The sequence below is a fragment of the Homo sapiens genome, chromosome 19, assembly GCF_000001405.40.
Source record: "Homo sapiens chromosome 19, GRCh38.p14 Primary Assembly".
NCBI classification, from domain to species: Eukaryota; Metazoa; Chordata; class Mammalia; order Primates; family Hominidae; genus Homo; species Homo sapiens.
In genome coordinates, this window is record NC_000019.10 from 30,906,075 (window position 1) to 30,924,191 (window position 18,117).

The 18,117-nt window shown below is 46.6% G+C and overlaps 1 long non-coding RNA gene across 1 annotated transcript, besides 2 other annotated features; it reads left to right on the forward strand.

Annotated features, from left to right (window-relative positions):
* Window positions 1–1,164: 1,164 nt before the first annotated feature.
* Window positions 1,165–3,081, forward strand: LINC01834 (long intergenic non-protein coding RNA 1834). Its single transcript, NR_184040.1, has 2 exons — window positions 1,165–1,204; window positions 2,777–3,081. It is a non-coding gene; the product is annotated as a long intergenic non-protein coding RNA 1834 (long non-coding RNA).
* Window positions 6,325–7,207: an enhancer, noted in NCBI's record as "H3K27ac-H3K4me1 hESC enhancer chr19:31403307-31404189 (GRCh37/hg19 assembly coordinates)". NCBI's record gives its function as "activates a minimal SCP1, AML or CMV promoter by ChIP-STARR-seq in naive H9 embryonic stem cells {active_cell/tissue: H9 hESC(naive)}" and the evidence as "EXISTENCE:reporter gene assay evidence [ECO:0000049][PMID:30033119]".
* Window positions 17,107–17,401: a silencer, noted in NCBI's record as "tiled region #9188; HepG2 Repressive non-DNase unmatched - State 24:Quies". NCBI's record gives its function as "represses a minimal TATA promoter and a strong SV40 promoter by Sharpr-MPRA in HepG2 cells {active_cell/tissue: HepG2}" and the evidence as "EXISTENCE:reporter gene assay evidence [ECO:0000049][PMID:27701403]".

Consider the following 18,117-nt stretch of genomic DNA (forward strand, 5'->3'; position numbering starts at 1 on the left):
ACTCGGGAGGCTGAGGCAGGAGAACCACTTGAACCCAGGAGGCAGAGGTTGCAGTGAGCCAAGATAGTGCCACTGCACTCTAGCCTAGGTGACAGAGTGAAACTGTGGGTCTCAAAAATAAATAAATAAATAAATAAAATAAAAAGATAAAATGTTGGTTATTTTCGAAAGATGGCACATCAGTTTAGAAGCCAAGAGACCAGGATACTGGGCTTGGCTCATCCCCCAGTAGATGCCATGATGTCAGCGACCCATAGCCCTTCCTCACCTTCCTCAGTAGATCTGCTTTTGCACTTGGTACCAGGGGATGCCAATAACCTCCACCTTCCTGTCTTTCAGAGTGGCTCTGAGAAGCCCAGGAAACACCACATGGGAAAATGCAAAGCTGAATAAATGAAATGGTTGAAGATCGTACTTCTGGTAGGAAGAAGTTGATAAATTCTTCCTATGGGGAGGGGAGGGTAAGGAAGGGGAGGGGAGGGCAGGGCAGGGGACGGGAGGGGAGGGGAGGGGAGGGATCTGGATCTAGCCTGGTTTTCCCTTTGCTCTTGGCAGGTCTTGGGGCACCCAGGAGCCACCATGGGGCATTGCACTTTACAGATGAATTTCCCTACCTTTGCAGGAGGAAAAGCAGTGGCCCTCTGGTTACTTGGTTGCCTAGGATTTAAAGCTGGGAGTGGACTCCACAGTGCGTTTTTGTTTGTGGTTGGAATTTTTGAGTTATACACTCCCTGGGCTGTTAGCTGAAATATTAGTGCATCCTCACAAATAAAATCACTCCAGGAAAAGCGTTGCTAGAATTTCCAACAAAGGCTGTCTTTGCCCTTCCGCGTACTTCCTAGATGGGGGTTCTTAAGCCACTCCTCGGAATCTGAATCCTACCAAGTGATGCCTGCCTTCTGCCTGCTACCCTGGGCCCCTGGATCTGCTGTCCTCTGGCACAGGCATCATTTGCTCCCTGGAAGCTGGGGAACCTTGCTTGGCAGTCACTAGGAAACTAGCTTAGAAAAACAGCCTCCCCGGCACCTGTGCCAGCAGGCAGGAATCCACCTGCTTTTTCCAAAAGTGTTTGCCTGTAGGGAGACTGCCTGAGGCCCACGTAAATTCAGAAATTTCTGGGGTTTGGCTTAGCAGGCCCAGAGGGCCCCGGAAGACACTGAGTGATTTCCCTCTGTGGCGTCCGTGAGAGTCAGTGTCACTGCTGGTGAGTCCATTTTTCCCACTCAGAGAGTTGGGGCACCCCCTAAATAATTGAAGTATTAGTATCAGTTTCTTTCCCCTTCTGCAGGCACTCCCAGAGGTCTGCCGTTTTCTTTGCAAGAACAGTTGGCATTAAATATGCTGGGTGTCAGTGCAGCAGTTAGGTGGTTAATTTTGACTGAATATTATGCTATATAACCACTTGGCATTTAACTTGAAAAATGGCTTTCTGCTTCACCTGTCAGCATACCCAGTTCTCATCAAATAAGTGAGTGAGAAAAATTTTTAAATTTCAATTTCCTGATGCTATTAGACACTACTTCTTCCATACTTAAACAGTTTAGCAGTGCATGTGCAGGTTTTTGTATTCAGACCATGCCTGAGACTACATGCTATTACAATAGCTTTTTTGTTTAAAGGGTAAAGAGATGCATGGATCTTTATCTTGAGGTTAGGAAAATGTATTGCAGGAACACGGCCAATCAGGTTCTGAATAACTTTGAAACATGGTGCCATCACCCCAGTGTAGTACAAGGAATTCCAGTGCCTACAGTAGAGGATTTGAGAGTGTCAGAAGAAAGCCTTAGAAATGAAGTAAATGTGCAGAGTAATCCCGCATGGTACTTCAGGGGGAAATTGATCACTCAGGTTAGCATTAATCTATTTTTACTGTTTCTTTTGTCAATTATAATTCAGTAAACCATGCCAAGGACTTACATTCATGAACTCTCTATGTTTAAGATTAAAACCCCAGGCTCATCCACTTATGTGAATTAGACATCTCCAGTTGTTCGTAGTTCAAACAGGTTGATTAGTGTCACCTCATTTTGTTTATACATCCCGAAAATGAAAAGCCGGCAGAGGGAAGATGACAGTATTTGATTTCTATGTCTCAGAACCACTTTGTCATAACTCATTTTTATGGTGGATGTGTTGTGAACAGGATGGGAAACGTGCCTTGTTTGTTTAAGAAAGGGTCAACAAGCTATGGCCTGTTGGCCAAATTCAGCCTGCCTCTTCTCTGGCCTGTTTCTGTAAATAAAGTATTATTCGGACAGAACCACACACACTTATTTATCGGTTTATCTGTGGCTGTTTTCAATCTGCAGAGTTGAGTTGTCCCAACAGACACAGTATGACTCATAAAGCGTTCTTATCGGCCCTTTACAGAAAAAGTTGTCTCCCTGTAATTTCAAGCTTCAAATGCTCATTTTCTTCCTTTTGTGATTCCAGGCCTAATTTTTCCATATCTTTAGAGGGCACATTTCTAGAAAGAGTGAATGGCTTGAGAAGTTTTGTACTTTTGAAGAGGTTTTTTTTTTTTCTTCACTTAGGCTGGATGAGGGGGATGTGAAATCATTCTGTTTTACAGATAAGAAGACTGAGGTACAGCAGGGTTCAGTGACCTGTTACAGGCCACATAGCTGGGAATAAAAAGACAAACTCCATTCTTCATGGGAACTGTGGGGATTAAATACATCAGTAAATGTAAATGGGTTGAAAAAATGTTCCCAGCATAGAGCAAATTTGCAATCCTTGCTAAATATGATTATTCCCTTTATTTTCATTGTTCCAGGGCCCTCACCCTGGTATACCAGGCAACCAGGAAGAAGGGATGCCTGCTGCTGTAAGCCTGTGCCAGCAACACAGAGACCCAGGCCTTCAGCCCAAGCGGGGCTCTGTGCCTCCATCGGAAACATGAACCAGATTTCCTTGTAATGGGCTCCATATTTAGGCCCAGCAGCCTTAGATGTCTGGCCAATAGGAAAGCTATGTCCTTCCTGCACAATTTCAGCCCTAAGAATCTGTGACTCTCCCTCCCTGGAGGCCTAGAGAACAAGAGGAGGGAGGGCTTGAAATCAATAAATGGATTGCACACCTGCAGGGCTCTGCCATTTGTCATCTGTGAGCTACGCAGCCATTCTGGGGCTTACGCTATCCTGAGCTGCGTGTGTTTCCATGGTCTCCCATTATGCTCCACTTTGACCCCTCAAAATATTGTTTCAACTTCCAGGAGGCTGGATGATGGGGAGAGAGAGGCAAAGAGAGAGGGAGGGAGCAAGGGAGTTGGCAGAATGAGAGAGGGAGCATGTCCAAAAATGCCGGCTCCAGCCAACTGTATCAGATGCCAGCTGCCAATACCACCCTGGTCCCTCTGAGGTCAGCCAGGTAGCTGGAGCCCTTCCTTGCCTTCCAGGCAAACAGGCTGCTACTCCAAGGGAAAACAGCCCTCAAATGCAGCCCTGCTCGGCTTCTCAGAAGGCTAGGGAGGAGAAAGGGGATTGAATTAACCAAGATATCCAACATATCGTCTCCAGGGTGAAGTAGAAAATCAACAGCATGACCTTTAAGGCCACTCACTCATTCACTCCAAGATAAATTCTATAGGTGCCCATGGTGTGCTGGGGAGGAGAGGGGAGGGGAACGGACAGCTCCTACCCCTAGGAGCTTTGTGTCACCCATGTCATCAGCCGAAGTGCTGGCTTAATAGACGGAACTTGTTCTAAAGGTATGAGAAGAGTAAATTGGAGATGGTAATTGCAGGAAGTGATGGCAGAGGGAAGAAAGAGGTGGTGTTTTAGGAGTAGGGTCTGGAGCTGTTCCCATAAACTAGGGCCATGGAGGAAGCGGCTGCCCATGAGGGTTGTGAAACCACAGAGGTGATGCCGCTACAGGCAGATATGCCACCCCTCCACAAGCCCAGACTCTCAGGGGTACTGCAGACAGTTATCTGGGCTCATTCCCTAAGGCCCCTTTTAACGAGAGAGTCTCAAGACAGCGGGGCTGGGAGCCTGTGAGGCAGGAAGAAAGTTCCAGCTAAAAAGACAATCCCCATTAGTTCAGCTGGGACTCTCAAGAAGATGAGCGCTTTCCTAAATGCAATGAAGGCAAGGAATAAGAAGGATGGGCTTTCCTCCCAAGGCTGCTGGGAGCTCACTTGGTGAATATGAATTGGTCTCCTTGCCAGGCGGGGCCTCAGCTCCCCGACCTGTAGCATGGGATGACTGGGTTGGCTCAAAGGTGTTACCCATCCATGTTATCAAAGAGAACAGTTTTAAAGCTCACCACTTAGAAGATGGAGCTTTAGAGAAAAGACAGTACCCAAGGACTCTCAGGAGCATCGTGCATGGGGCCTGATATGGCACCACAGCAGCTGGGGTCCAGAGACTCTGGAACTGAGGGCTGAGCCTGAGAGACGTGGTGTGAGTGTGAGTGAACAACGCATTGGCACGGTAGGTGCGTGTTTATGCATGACAGTCTTCAAACCCTGCTTCTGCAGAAAGCACAGTGACCATAGCAGATACTGAGTTCTGTCGTGGTAGGGACCTGCGCCACCAGGGCCTCCCTTCGTCCCCAGCAGCCTGGAGCAGGGCCTGCTGCGTCCCTCCCCAGCCCTCACCCCTCCCAGCCAGTTAAGAGAGTCTCCAGCCAGGAACTGATTTGTGGATGTGCCTCAAGGTCCGCCAGTGTCACAGTCCCGTGTGATTTATCGCCTGCTCCACACCTCACACTTTCTGTTGTGTGCTAATGCCCCGTCCTTCATATCTTTCTTTAATCATGAGAGAGTAATTGTAGATATTTAAACACTTGAGTTTCCTGCAGGAATTTCGAGACTGGGTTTTATAGGCCTTTTATAACAGAACAAATCACAGTTTGGATGAAATTCTGGGAATTCTCTTGCAGGATAATCATGTTCAGATTGCCTCCCTACTGCTAGCTTAATGTGGCTGTCCAAGTTTGGGATTTACTGGGGAGCCAATTTGTTTTAAGAAATTAACAAAACCGATACCTAAGTACCGCAGTGAACATAAAGTTTTTATTCATTTTGGTGAAAGGGAAAAAAAATACCCAACATTCTGCTACTCACAAAACAGCTCTTGAAAATCATCTTTATGAAATTGAATCTCTCTCCCCAAATGATTCCCCGATGCTAAGCGGGATGGCCTTGTAATAATCACTCCCTTGTATTCGTGCGTTAACCGGTTCAAACTTCACAGGCTTTGCCCAACCCAAGGGTCTCATGGCACCGGCTTTATACTTTTTAAAATTTTATTTATTTATATTTTTATAGAATGCAGGGAGCCACACAGATGAGAGAGAATTCTCAAGTGGGGAAAGTCATATGTGGACTGTGAGATTTAGACACAAAAAAGGAATGTATCTCTCACACCCCACACCCCACACATACACAAAGTAGATTTTTTTTTTTCCAAAAATGTGGTCTGGAAAAAGGAAGGAAGAAGGATGCCTGTCATGGAGCTGGATGTGTGAAAACCTCTTTGAAAAGCAATGACATTTCCTCCTTGGGGGACCTCATCTTCCCTTTGCTCCTACCTGGTGCTGAACACAGGAAGTTCGTGCTCTCCCTTCACCATCACAGCTGCTTGGGAAATAAACCACATTTAAATCAACCCCTTTGTATCTGCCAGCAGCTGCTAGGCCTCTGAAGGAATCTCTCCTCTCAATTCCCTTTTGGTGAAAGAAAGGGAATTTGCACCCAGACAGGGGAGGCTCCCTGCTGGGCACGAGCTGACTGAGTGCCCTGGCCCAGGGCAGGTGTGGGTGTACGGAGGGGTTTGGGGAAGGGCCCTGAGATTCCATTTACCCAAAGGGTATTATGACTCTAAGGTGCCTTCTTAGTCTGCCTGGAGAGTGGGGAGCCACCATGGGAGTCCGAGACCACGGACAGGACAACAGAAACTCACTGCTGGGGCTCATTCCCTTTGGGCAGCCCCAGGCAGTTACAACCAGGATGACTGCGACGCTGTGGAAGGAGCTTGCAGCCAGTGGCCCTTCTGCGTGGGCCTCTGTGCGGAGCATGGGCAGAAAGAAAGGAACCAACGTACTCAGCAAACAGTGCTCGGTGTATCTGCTGCCAGGCCCAGTGCTGAACCCTCCAGGTGAGACAACTCGATAAGACACTACTGCCCCGCCATTTGCACCTGGGGCATGCGTCACAGGTGTCCCAAGACCTGCATGGATTGATTTGCTCTCTCTAGGTAAGGACACTCCTTAGGATTGATGCCACTGTCCAACCTGGCCTCCTGAATATGCAAGACAGAGTGTGCCAGGGAACAAAGTTGCCACATTTCCCACATGGTCCAGCCCTGGGTAAGGCATTTCCTGGGCAGTGCAGGCCTCTATGGCCCTGTTCACCTCATTCCCTGGAGTCTTGTACCCTACACACACGCCCTACTGTTCCCTCTGCTGCCTGGGACTCCCAGCCGTCTCCACCAGCCAGGGCCTCACCGAGGGTCCATGCAGATCTTAGCTATTCACACCGGATGCTCCTGGAGCCAGGATGCGGCCCTTCAGACCTTGGCCATGGTCCTGTGTGGCCCATAGTTGTGGCAGGCTTCCACATCTATTCTTTCCTAGCTGGTGCCAGGTCCCAGCCCTGAGGTCTGGGGTAGAGGCTCCCTGGGCTGCCCTGGTTGTGACACAGATGGCTCTGAATGTGCTTGGCTTTCCAGAGCCTCTGCGGCACCTGTGCTCTGGTCCTGCCTGGCCCTGTAGGCTGCGACTTCCCCAGGAGGCCCAGCTCACTGTTGGAACCTACTTGCTACCTGATAGCCTTTACTGCAGTTCTAGCCTAGAACCTAGAACCTTGACGGTATCAAGACAGTCAGATAGTGGTGAAATATGAGGCAGGGCAGCTGTTTGCTCCACGTGGGTGTGGGGCTCCAGCCGGGGCCTCAGCATGGCTGTTTCTCCCTCAAGTCGCCTCCTCGGTGCCCCCTGCCGACCCGTTGAACTCTCCACGGCCTTGAGCTGCACCCACCTCCCTTAACAGGCTTGCAGGGTCCTCACCAAAGCACAGGGCTGCCCCTCTGGAGGGAAAAAGCCTCAGGTGGTGCTGCTCCTGCCTTCCTGTGAAGTCTTTCCAGTCTCCCCACAAGCATGGGTTGAGCACCTACTGTCTCCCTTCACAAGGCTAAGAGCTGGGGATACAGCAGAGACTAGACAAAGTCCGTGCTCTCCTAGAGAGTAGAGCTCAGTAGCGGTGACAGATCACCCAGAAAAAGGCAAATGAAGATCATTTTCCACAGTGAGAAGGGCCAGAAATGAAATAAAACAGGGTGATCAGGATGGGATCTGGGGGTGCAGGTGCCCACATTAGACATCATAGTCACGGTGAGTCTCTCTGACACTTGAGGAGGTGACCCTTACAAAGTGTCAACTAAGGCCAGTGCTCCTGCCTGTAATTCCAGTGCTTTGGGAGGCCGAGGTAGGAGGATCACTTGAGCCCAGGAGTTCGAGACCAGGCTGGGCAGCACAGCAAGACCTCATATCTACAAAAAATTTAAAAAATTAGCCAGGCGTGGTGGCACACACCTGTAGTGCCAGCTACTCAGCAGGCTGAGGCAGGAGGCTCACTTGAGACCAGGAGGTCGAGGCTGCAGTGAACCGTGATGGTGCCACTGCACTCCAGCCTGGACGACATAGCGAAATCCTATCTCTAAAAGAATAAATAAAATAAAAATTTAAAAAGTGGTGACTCAGTGAGCGGGGCAGCCAGCATGCAAGGATTGGTGGGAGGGAATTTTGGGCAGAGGAAACCGCAACAGCAAAGGCTGGGAAGTGGGACAGAGCTTGCCTAGGGTGGCCGGGGCTTTAGGGTACGAGGGGAAGAGTCTGCCCACTGAGGCCTCCGAGTCTGAGAGGGAGGCAGGGGCCAGATCACAGGGCACAGCCATCAAGGTGAGGAGAAGTCGAGGCTGGGCTCCATCGTCCTGCCCTGCTCCTGGCTGACGTGAACCCGTCACAGCCTGGAAAACACACACTTGACACAAGCCTGTGCCAGCAGGGATTAGGAGAACATTGTTGTCTTAGAAGAATACGTTTTTAATTAACAGGTTTTATTTACCACCGTGCGTTCTCTCTTGCTCACATGGCCCTGTTAAAGAGCATTTTAAATTATCAGCTTTTATTTATCACAAGAAAGTCTCCCCAGTACGGGCACTTTCCTGTTGTTCCCCATGCTGGCCTGAGCGAGCAGGGAGATGGGGAGACCAGGAGTTCAACCCTGTCCTCTGCAGGCCTGGCCCCAGCCTTGCAGTTGGACACACATGGCCTTCTCCTCTCCTCTTTCCTGGCCGCTGACACCGGGGCAGGTGACAGTCACCTTTTCTGATGTGGTTTGCCCAAGCAGTGTCTGAATTAAATCTCGCCAGTTGAAGCCTGCCAGGGTGCTGCTGGTCCAGAGAGCTCACTGGGGCTGGGCAGGAAACATTGTGGCTTTTGCACCCTGGCTAATTCCATTGCGCAGCTTTCAATGCCACTCTATTTAAATCCCTGTCAGAAAGCCCTTAAGGACAGCCAGTTTTATTTACTGTCAATGTAACCACTCCTTTGGTTGATACTGGCCTAAACACCTCCAGGAAAGAAAGCCCGGGCTCATCAACTGGACCTCCATCCTGCCGAAGGAACAAAGGAGGCTTCCTCCTCTCCTTGGCATATGTGCATATTAAAAAATTTATTGAACCTATTTTAATATCCTTCGACTAATGGGAGAGTTTTAAGACCTTTCTAAGTATAGTAGTAGTAAATCCTGCTGCGTATTTCACCCAAATATCCAAAATAAAAATACCTTTGATTGAGAGAGGCGAGTCGCCCACTGGGGCCCATACCTTCAGTTTCAGTAGCTCAGTTCAACATCAAAAACAACAACAACAACAACAAAAACCACATTGTAGCAATCAGCCCTCTAATAAGCCTCTAACTCGGTTTCTACCTTATCCCAAAGGTATAGGAAATAGCACTGCTTTTTTTAAAATATCAAGAAAACATCATTTGCTCTAAAATGTCCCTAAAAGCAGGTCTAAATTGCCAATAAAGGCTAGGTAATTGTATCAGCATGGATCAGAAAGCATTTCTCAGGCCCGATGAAAGAGTTTGCAGGGCTGAAGGACTCCAAAGCTGCTGCCCAATCCCCCCCACGCTTAGTCAACAGCCCGCACCAGCAGTTCGAAGGGAGATTTTCAGCACAATGCAATTTCCCTTTTAAAGCCAAACGCCTCTCTACTCCCCCCATTCTCATTTTGTTCTAATTTGTTAAACTTAATTTCTTCTGAGGAGTTGTCTGGAAGCTCAGGTCAAATCAGAGAAACTTTCTGGCTGTTTGTTTTTGAAAAGCAGAACGTTCTCCTTCCTAAGCCTCTGGGTCTGAATTACTTAATTATTCTCTCCTTTTCCTCCTCGTCCAGGTGAATGATATATGCACTGAAAAAGCAAACTGCATGGGTGGCTTGTCTTCTTAACCACATCACCAGCCTCGCTCTCCACCTTAGAGCACTATAATCACTTGACTAGCAAACACATATACAGTATAAATATTTAAGAAAAAGTAAATTCTATTAAGCCACTGTGTGATAGATGCAGTGGTAGGTACTTATCTTTGAAATATTAAACTCTAGACATTTATATCCATACAAAAAAGAGTTTCCTGCCATTTGATGAGAATTATGTGCCTGGCACTAATAAAATATTAAACTCCAATTTAAAAGATAAGTATCTTATCCACTTTTTTCATAATAAAACATTTTACAGTGCTCAAGAAAGCCAATATGCATCAGAATTTCCATACAATACTGTATTTACAAACTTTCATAAAAGTTTTGTGTCTGCATTTATCAGTGGCTGGTTTCACACTAGCATCCTGATCATTCTCCCTAATGATACGGTGCATTTCAATAATGCATGATGGAAGGTGTACAAACAGCGCTTTGTTTTTGTGTATGGTAATTCCATATTTTTGGTTAGTGGTTCTCCCTGGCAATTAATTAAATGGAGGTGGTCACTAAGATTGCATTATCCCTTTTGGTCCCCATTATATAAATTAATGTCAAACTGATGCAATGTTTCATGTTTAAAATAACAGATACAAGTGTTAAAAATTATAGCCTGCAGTTTTCCTATTTGACAATGCATTATTTTCAGCTGCAAATGTCAGTTTCTAACCCCTGCCAAGAATATTGTGGCGAGGCAATGAGTAATAAGTGTTAGTTATCAAATTTAGTGTCTTTTGAAATTTGCCCGTGTTGCCAGGGTGGGGGTGGGGAAGCAGTCGATGCACTTGTGTAAATTTATGGAAGCTCCACTTCCAGAGCCCTGTGGGAAAGGAAAAGGATTCTAGCAGGCAGCTAGACTTTCCACGACATCAGCTGCCTCCAGCCACAGCACGCAGGTCCTGACGGAGGCCTGCGAGGGCCAGCCTTGGGTGTGGTCCCAGTGTCTCTTGGCCTGGGGATAGTTAAGAGGTGAGAACAGCTGAAACGTATATGACGTTCCCAAAGGGTAAAACATTTTCAAAGGGCCTCACCTAATTGGACCTGGACTGCATAAGCCCCAGTCTTTTCATTAAAACCTGATGTCAAAAGCTGCCTATTTGAAACCTCCTTTGCCTCGGATGTTGCGGGAACTGGGCTTTGGCCATGGATGGGATGTTCCTGAGCCCTCAAGACCATTTTGGTCTCTGGGAGTGGGATTCTCCCCTGACCCCTGGAGATCGGCCTTGACAACAGGATTTCTGTTAGCAGCCTCCTTCTCTTACCTCTTTGTTTTGATAGATGTCAAAAGACAGTTCTGCCTTGAAAAATGTAATTACTCAAGAGGATGATAGGAGGTAAAAAACTATATGAGAGGTAAGTTGCATGATGTTTTAAAATAAACAAATATCACCTTGGGCACAAATCCCCTATGCACCCCCACTTAGGTTTGGGGTTGAGAAGTGGAAGGTGCAGCCCAAGTCTGCGCCAGCTGACTCCTGAGCAGATAAAATATTTAGATTGTGTGATACGTGTAGAGCAAGACAAACTAAATGGTTCTAACATCTAGAGACACTTTCATTTCTCAGGGCAATGCCGGGTACCCCAAAACAGTGTTCCACTGGAAGAGACCTTTGCTCTTTGTGAAACTTGGTCACCATCAGAGAAGGGGTGGGTGGGCATGCCTGTCCCCTCCTCAGACCAACTGAAGCTTGGCCAGAGGTGTCCTGTGAACATCGCCCATTCCATGCCACAGAGAAAAGTACTGTCAAATTTTAACAGAGAGCAGAGGCGTCTCTCCACAGAGATTTTTAAATTAATAAACACCTTGTAGCCAAAGAAATAGCTGATTTGCAGGTCTTCTTTCTGTTGGGCATACGTCCGGATGCAGTAGATGAAAATATGTTTTATATTATCCTGGGAATGTTATCGTAAGTGGTTGCTTTTGCAGGTGTGAGGGACCGCGGCTAACAGTGACTGGTGACTGTTGTATCGTTTGGCCACAGACATCAGCTAAATCCTGAATAAGAACTCTTTCCGTTTCTTCCAGAAGATGAGCAGTGGTAGTGTTCCTTATTTCTGTAAATTACTGTAGAAACAATAGGCTGCAATTATCATCACGTTTGAAAAGCATCCACTAATTACACTCAGGATAAACGGCACTTAATACCTATGATATCTATTGTGAGCATATCAGTGTGATGCCCTAGCCTGCACTGATACTTTTATCTTCTAATATTTGGAAGAAATAATTGCTCTGAAAAGAGTACCTTAAAAGCTTGGCCTGCTGGGCTTCTCTTCAGCAGCTGTTTCACGGGCTGGGGTCTGAGGGGCACGACTCAGCCTGGACTCCTTTATTCTGGGGCAGAGACCGCAGAGTTCTGCCTCGGACACTCAACACTCACTACCTGTGTGATCTCAGGTGAGTTTCCTAACCTCTCTGCTGTTTCCTTCAACATAAAATGCGGATGAGAATAAGGCTCGCTTTGTAGGGTTGTTAGGAGGATGAAATGCATCAATACATTGAAAGCATTTAAATTGTCCTTCCTGTGTATGATTTCAAGGTTCCAAAACTTAGTCCTGGAAAGTTTTCCTAAAGAGCTTCACACCTGTGATCCGTGAAGCTGAAATTAGAATGTTGTTCTCCTGGTCTTACCAAGAGACCTAAATGAAACAAATCACATAAAAAGGAGCATTGAAGAGTGAATGGCATGCAAAAAAAGATACTGATAACAATAACACCATATCATTGAAAGCACAGCCCTAATTTATTTATTATTTCATGCCCGCTGTTCCCTCATCTCCAGCCTTTGTCTAAGATGAGACCTTGGGACTCATCTAAAGGCTTTTATTTGACGCTTTCCTTGCCTCTCATCTCACACATGGAAAAACCCTCCTAACATAACTGACTATTGGCAGCTTAACTGAAACCCTCCCTTGGTTCTCCATTGCCACAGGCTCAAGTTCAAGCTCCTAGTCTTCATTCTTCCACCCCTGACTGTCTCTCCAGCCTCATCTCTACAAAAAACTCCTCTTTCTCCACATACTCCAGCCAGATGGAACCTTTTGTAGTTCTTTGAATATGCCGTGGTCTCCCTCCATTCTTCCACTCCACTTTTCGCAGAGCATTGAATAGTTACAGGCAAGGACTCAAGAAGTAGACTCCCCGGGTTCAAACCCTTGCCGAGGTCTTCCAGTGAGCACCATGGGAGCCCCAGAGCCAATCGATTTCCACTTGGAGCTCTAAGCTTGGAGAAGCTGTGTGAACTTGAATAAGTTGATTACCTCTCTGAGCCTTGGCTTTCCCATCGATAATATGGGATATTTATCTCATACAGTTGTAATGAAGATTAATTGGTTAAAATATAAAAAATGCTAGGGGCATTGGGTGACTTTGTTATTAAGAAAGGGTAAGTCATAGGCAAGTTTCAAAGATCTGTCTCCTGAGATGGGGGAGAGGCCTCTTTTTTTTTTTTTCTACATGTGGATTCTAAGAGGTTTAGGTTCAAGCCCCCTCTTTCCCAAGAAGACTCTTTAGTTCTCCATCCCACATCAATTTATGCTTTCCCCAAATCCTCTCTCCCACTGTGCCATGCTTTAGCTTTGCATGGGTCAGTATTTGGTCATGACCTAGAATTATTTCAGTCTTATCTCTGCCAGCCAGTCAGATGCTGGAAGAAGGGAGTCTCGTCCCAGCTCTGCCCCATGACCAGGGCTGAGCACACAATGAACTTGGCCGTGGACTGATTGACACACCAAAGTCCCGCCAAGCCAGCCCTTTGTCCCATGGGATGGCACACACAATGGCCAACTCCTCCAAGGATCCTCCTCACACTTCCTAGCCTAGTTCACATCATCTCTGTTCCCTGTGCCCAAGCCAGCCAGGTGCCTGGCCAAATAATTACATAATGGGGCTGGAGGGAGATGGAGACACAAGACAGCCAGGGGAAGGGCTAAACCCCAGCCCTGCTGCCAAATCCTCCCATTCCAGGAGTCCACCTTGACATCCCCAGATGATCATGTCTCATAGGATGTCATCCTATTAGCACTTTAAGGAGGCAGAGAAGCGTGAAGCCAAACTGGTACTTGAAATGTCCATAATTGACCTTTTAAATCACTAATGTGTCAGATAACCTGGTACGTGATTGTAGAGTTGTTTTGGATGCTGTTCTGGTCATGTTCCTTTTTCTAATAGAAAAAAAGGTGGAGGGAAGTATGGTTCTCTATAATATGACTCTTAGTTAAGAAAAGTTACAAGAAGAAGAAAAGGAGGAGAGAAGGAGGAGAAAGGAGAAGAAAGAAGGAGCAGGAGGACAAGGAGAAGGAGGAGGAGGAGGAGGAAGAGATTAAAGAAAAGGAAGGAAAGAAAAGAAGGAAGGAAGGAAGGAGGGAGGGAGGGAAGGAAGGAGGAAAGGAAGGGAAAGGAAAGGAAAGGAAAGGAAAGGGAAAGAAAGGAAAGTTAAGTTAAGTTGAGGTCTCCTGCCTGGCTCTCTGGGACCCCTGTGTGGACAAGGAAGAACTGCCAGCTCACTGTCCTCCTTCTAACTTGAAGCTAATCTCATGGAAAATACGATGCCTCAAATCTGAATTATTTGTTCTGTGTGTCAGGGACAGGGTGGGTGGCTTCTGTCTGCAATTTAAGGTAAAATTAACGCATATGCTTCTCCAGTATTTTCACAGTATAAGACTCCCAGCCAAATGTGAGTGTTTCCACACACTTCCTTCTTGAGAAGACAGATTTGCATATGCATTAAGGCCATTTTATCAGAATGCACACACAGAGGAATGACACATCTCACTGACAGCGCCCGGGTGACAGATAACTCCACACAAAACATACATTTGAAAGGAAAATAGGAGGAGGAATAGAATTAAAGGCCGGTGTGAGAGTGGCATCGTGTTTTGAGTGAGGCAGCACAGATTGGATTGTTTGATTCACTTCCCGGCTCTGCGTGAGTCAGGTGGCGACAGGTGCTCCTCCAACTACCTGAGCTCCCCGGGAAGGTGGGGGGTGGGGGGCGGATGCTGCTGGGCCCCGCAGCCTTAATACTGCATGACCTCATCACCGAGGTACACAGTGAGCCTCTTCCCTGTGGCAGCTGAGGTCTGGCCCCTGACCACCTCACTATCTCACCTCCCTCACCTGTAACTTTGCTCCGGTGCTCTGGCCACGTGGGCAGGGCCTCTGGACATGCAGATTCCACTGCCCCAAAAGCTCTTTCTGCAGACTGTCCTGTGGGGGCCCAGAGAAGCTCATGCCAGTTAAGCTACGAGGAAACGCACTTGCTGGGTCCTGTTAGTGCCAGGGCAGGTAGAGGGTTCAGGTGGGGAGTGGAGACTGGCTGGCAGTCAGGAAGCATTTCTATGCTGACATTTCAGATGAAGACATACAGAACTCTCAGGAGCTCCTGAATCTCCAAGACCCAGGAATTTCTTGTGCTCTCCTCTTATTCTCAGTAAATATTTACTTTCATATGAATATTTTTCTTTTTATTTTGTTAATTTTTTTTTTATAGACAAGATCTCATGCTGTCGCCCAGGCTGGAGTGCAGTGGTGTGATCACAGCTCACTGCATTCTTGAAGACCCAGGCTCAAGCAATCCTCCTGCCTCAGCCTCCCGAGTAGCTGGGACTACAGGCATGCTACCACGACTGGTGAATTTTTGTATTTTATTTTTTGTAGAGTCAGAGTTTCACTATGTTTCCCAGGCCGGTCTTGAACTCCTGGCCTCAAACGATCCTCCCACCCCAGCCTCTCAAAGTGCTGAAATTACAGATATAAGCCACCATGACTGGCCTATAAATATCTTTCTCAAAAGGATTCCACAAATCGTAAAAGCCTCAGGACCCACAAATCATTGATCTGTCTTCCACAAGCTTCTTTCTGTTAATTTCACACAAATATTACCTTCTCCTATGGGCCTTTTGCAATATCGCTCCCATCTCTGTATCACTCCACCCTTTACCCTGGCTTGTAGAAATTAACTCTTCTCAAAATTTTGTTAGTTCATTCATTCATCCATGCACTCATTTGAGTTTTTGTTCTTCATCTGTTCTACATCTAGACTCTCCATGACCACAGGCACCTGCTCTGTTCACTCACCTGCATATCTCTGCATCTAGAACAGCTCAGGGTAGGTGTGGAGTGAATGGTGATTGCATGAGCGAATGGCTGCCAAGTCTACCCATGGCTTGCCCATCCTCTGGATACATCATCTACTTCTCTGGAACTGCAAGCTTTCTCATGAAATACGAACGGCTACCCTAGATGTATTAAGTTGCTCAACCCATGTCTTCTATGCCTCACAAACTGGGCTGGGTCCAGGGGTCTAGCAAAGAACAAGACAGATGTAGCCTCTGTCTTAATGGATAGTGCAGTTTGTGAAAGACAGACATTGAACAGAAAATCACACAATCATTCAGTGAAAGTTGAGATGGGATCATTGGAAGGCTTATGTGAGAGAGCAGCAGCATCTCTCTGTCTGCTGAGACACAAGCAAATGCTTCCAAAGCTCTGTCCACATCTAGCATGCATTTCTGGTGCTGCTCATCAACCACCAATGAGAGGCTGGGTTGTGCCATGGTGTCTAGAAGCACCATGTCCTTTGGTGTTCCTGAGGCTTTCAGCCTCTCTCTTCCCTGAAAGCTGGCATGGGGAGGAAGGGATTTTCTGCCACCCCTTTACCACTCCCCAACATACATATCTCTAAGTCTAAGGGTCCCTGGAGCCCCCAAATCCTGACAGCCATGTTACCAAATGAGGCACTTCTTCTCTCACTTGCCAGCTGAGTGACTGCTTCTGGTGATTAAGAAGAGTAGGAGTGAACAGCAGAGGGTGTGGCCGATGTGGAGTAAACTTACTTGATAGAAACCAACTTGGATAGGGTCTTCGCATTCTAAGCATTTGGGAAATTCAAGTTGAAAACTTAAACATAGGCAACATCTAAACCAGGGTTGTCCAATCTTTTGGCTTCCCTCAGCCACATTGGAAGAAGAAGAATTGTGTTGGTCCACACATAAAATACACTAATGCTAACGGCTGCTGATGAGCTTTAAACAAATTTGCAAAAAAAAAATCTCATAATATTTTAGGAAAGTTTACGAATTTGTGTTGGGTGGCATTCAAAACCATCCTGGGCCACGGGTTCATCTAAACCTTCCCTTTTTATTAGATTTCTGTATGATACATGTAGATAACCAATTTGCATTTGTTTTTTTCCAAAGCACTGAATGAGCTGTTCTGGCTGTCTTCTGTTTTATAAGTCTGTGCACCTGAGTTCCTTGGGAACCCTCTTGCAGAGTTTCACCACCTTTATTCCTTCAAAGCCACCAATGCCCTGAAGAGCAGCAGCTCAGCCACCTGGGCCAGGTCCGTGTGCTGATGAAGGTGGTGGCTGGAGTGTGATACCCATAATAAACCCTCAGCCAACCTTTGCCGGATGCTGAGATGCTGCTGTTAGTTGTGCATGCACCTGCTAGGCCCACTCATGTACTGTCCCCAAGTCACTACTGTAGAGCAAACAATGCAACTTGTGTGTTGGGGATTGACCTCAGCAAATTATAAGCAATTAACCAAATTTGCCCTACCATTAATCATATTATTCTGCATTGCCGATTCATATGACCCCAAAATTGCCAACTCTTTTCAGCTGTTAGAGATGTATATCCAGGAACAAATGACTGCCTTCAATTCTGTCTCCATCCTGTTCTTCGAGTCAGCACCCAGCTGAGGCACGTGGCTAACAGTGGGAGAACAAGAATTACCATAGATCTGCCAAGGATCCTTTGAGAGAGGACAAAATAGCTGAATGCAATTAAGCCTATTGTCAGTGGCTAAGGTACTTGGAATGACAGGTGTCTTTGAAGTGCAAGGTATTAGCGCTGTTTGTTGCTAAATTCCCAACCTAGAACTCTATCATTTTGCTAAGAAATTGCAGCAAACTCAATTTTTTTCTATCAAGTGTTTCCCTGGGTGCTAAGTCTATCACTGTTATAATATATTAATTTTTTTTCCTTTGGTGACATTGATGATGGGGTACGTCTTCACTCTCTCTCACCTGGTACCTTCTCCGTGTCTTTAGGAGAGAATTTGGAATTGCTGGAATATTCTTGGCCATCCTTCATTTGGAATTTATGTGGTAATTTCAGTGAAACCGAGACCTTGTGCAGCAGTTTTCATCTTTTTCAAGGCTGCCTCTCTTTCTCGAGAAGCTGGAGAGTTTCCAATTATTCCTTCTGGTCTCTTTGGATGTGAATTGTAACAGATCAGCTGAGAGTCGCAGTTCAACATTGTTAAGCTTATCAATATAAATATAATGTTAAACCCCTTTTAGATAATTGGAGCTATGTGTGAAAATGTGACCAATTTGTGCATAAATTGGTCCTACACTTCTTCCTGGCAAAGACAGAGAGAGAGGGAAAGAGAGACCAACCATATGTGAAGTTGGTTTGCTTCTTCTCGGGGACTTTCCACACCTTGAATTCTTGATCTGGCTTTGTGGCTGCTGACAGTTGGAAACCTGCACAGGTTATGCCAAAACCATAAGGTCCTTTGCCCTTTTGAACCAAATTCTTCTGTCTTAGAGGCTGCACGGCGAGTATCAACAAGGCACTTGCATATCACACCAATGGGAGGGTTGCAGACAGTCTT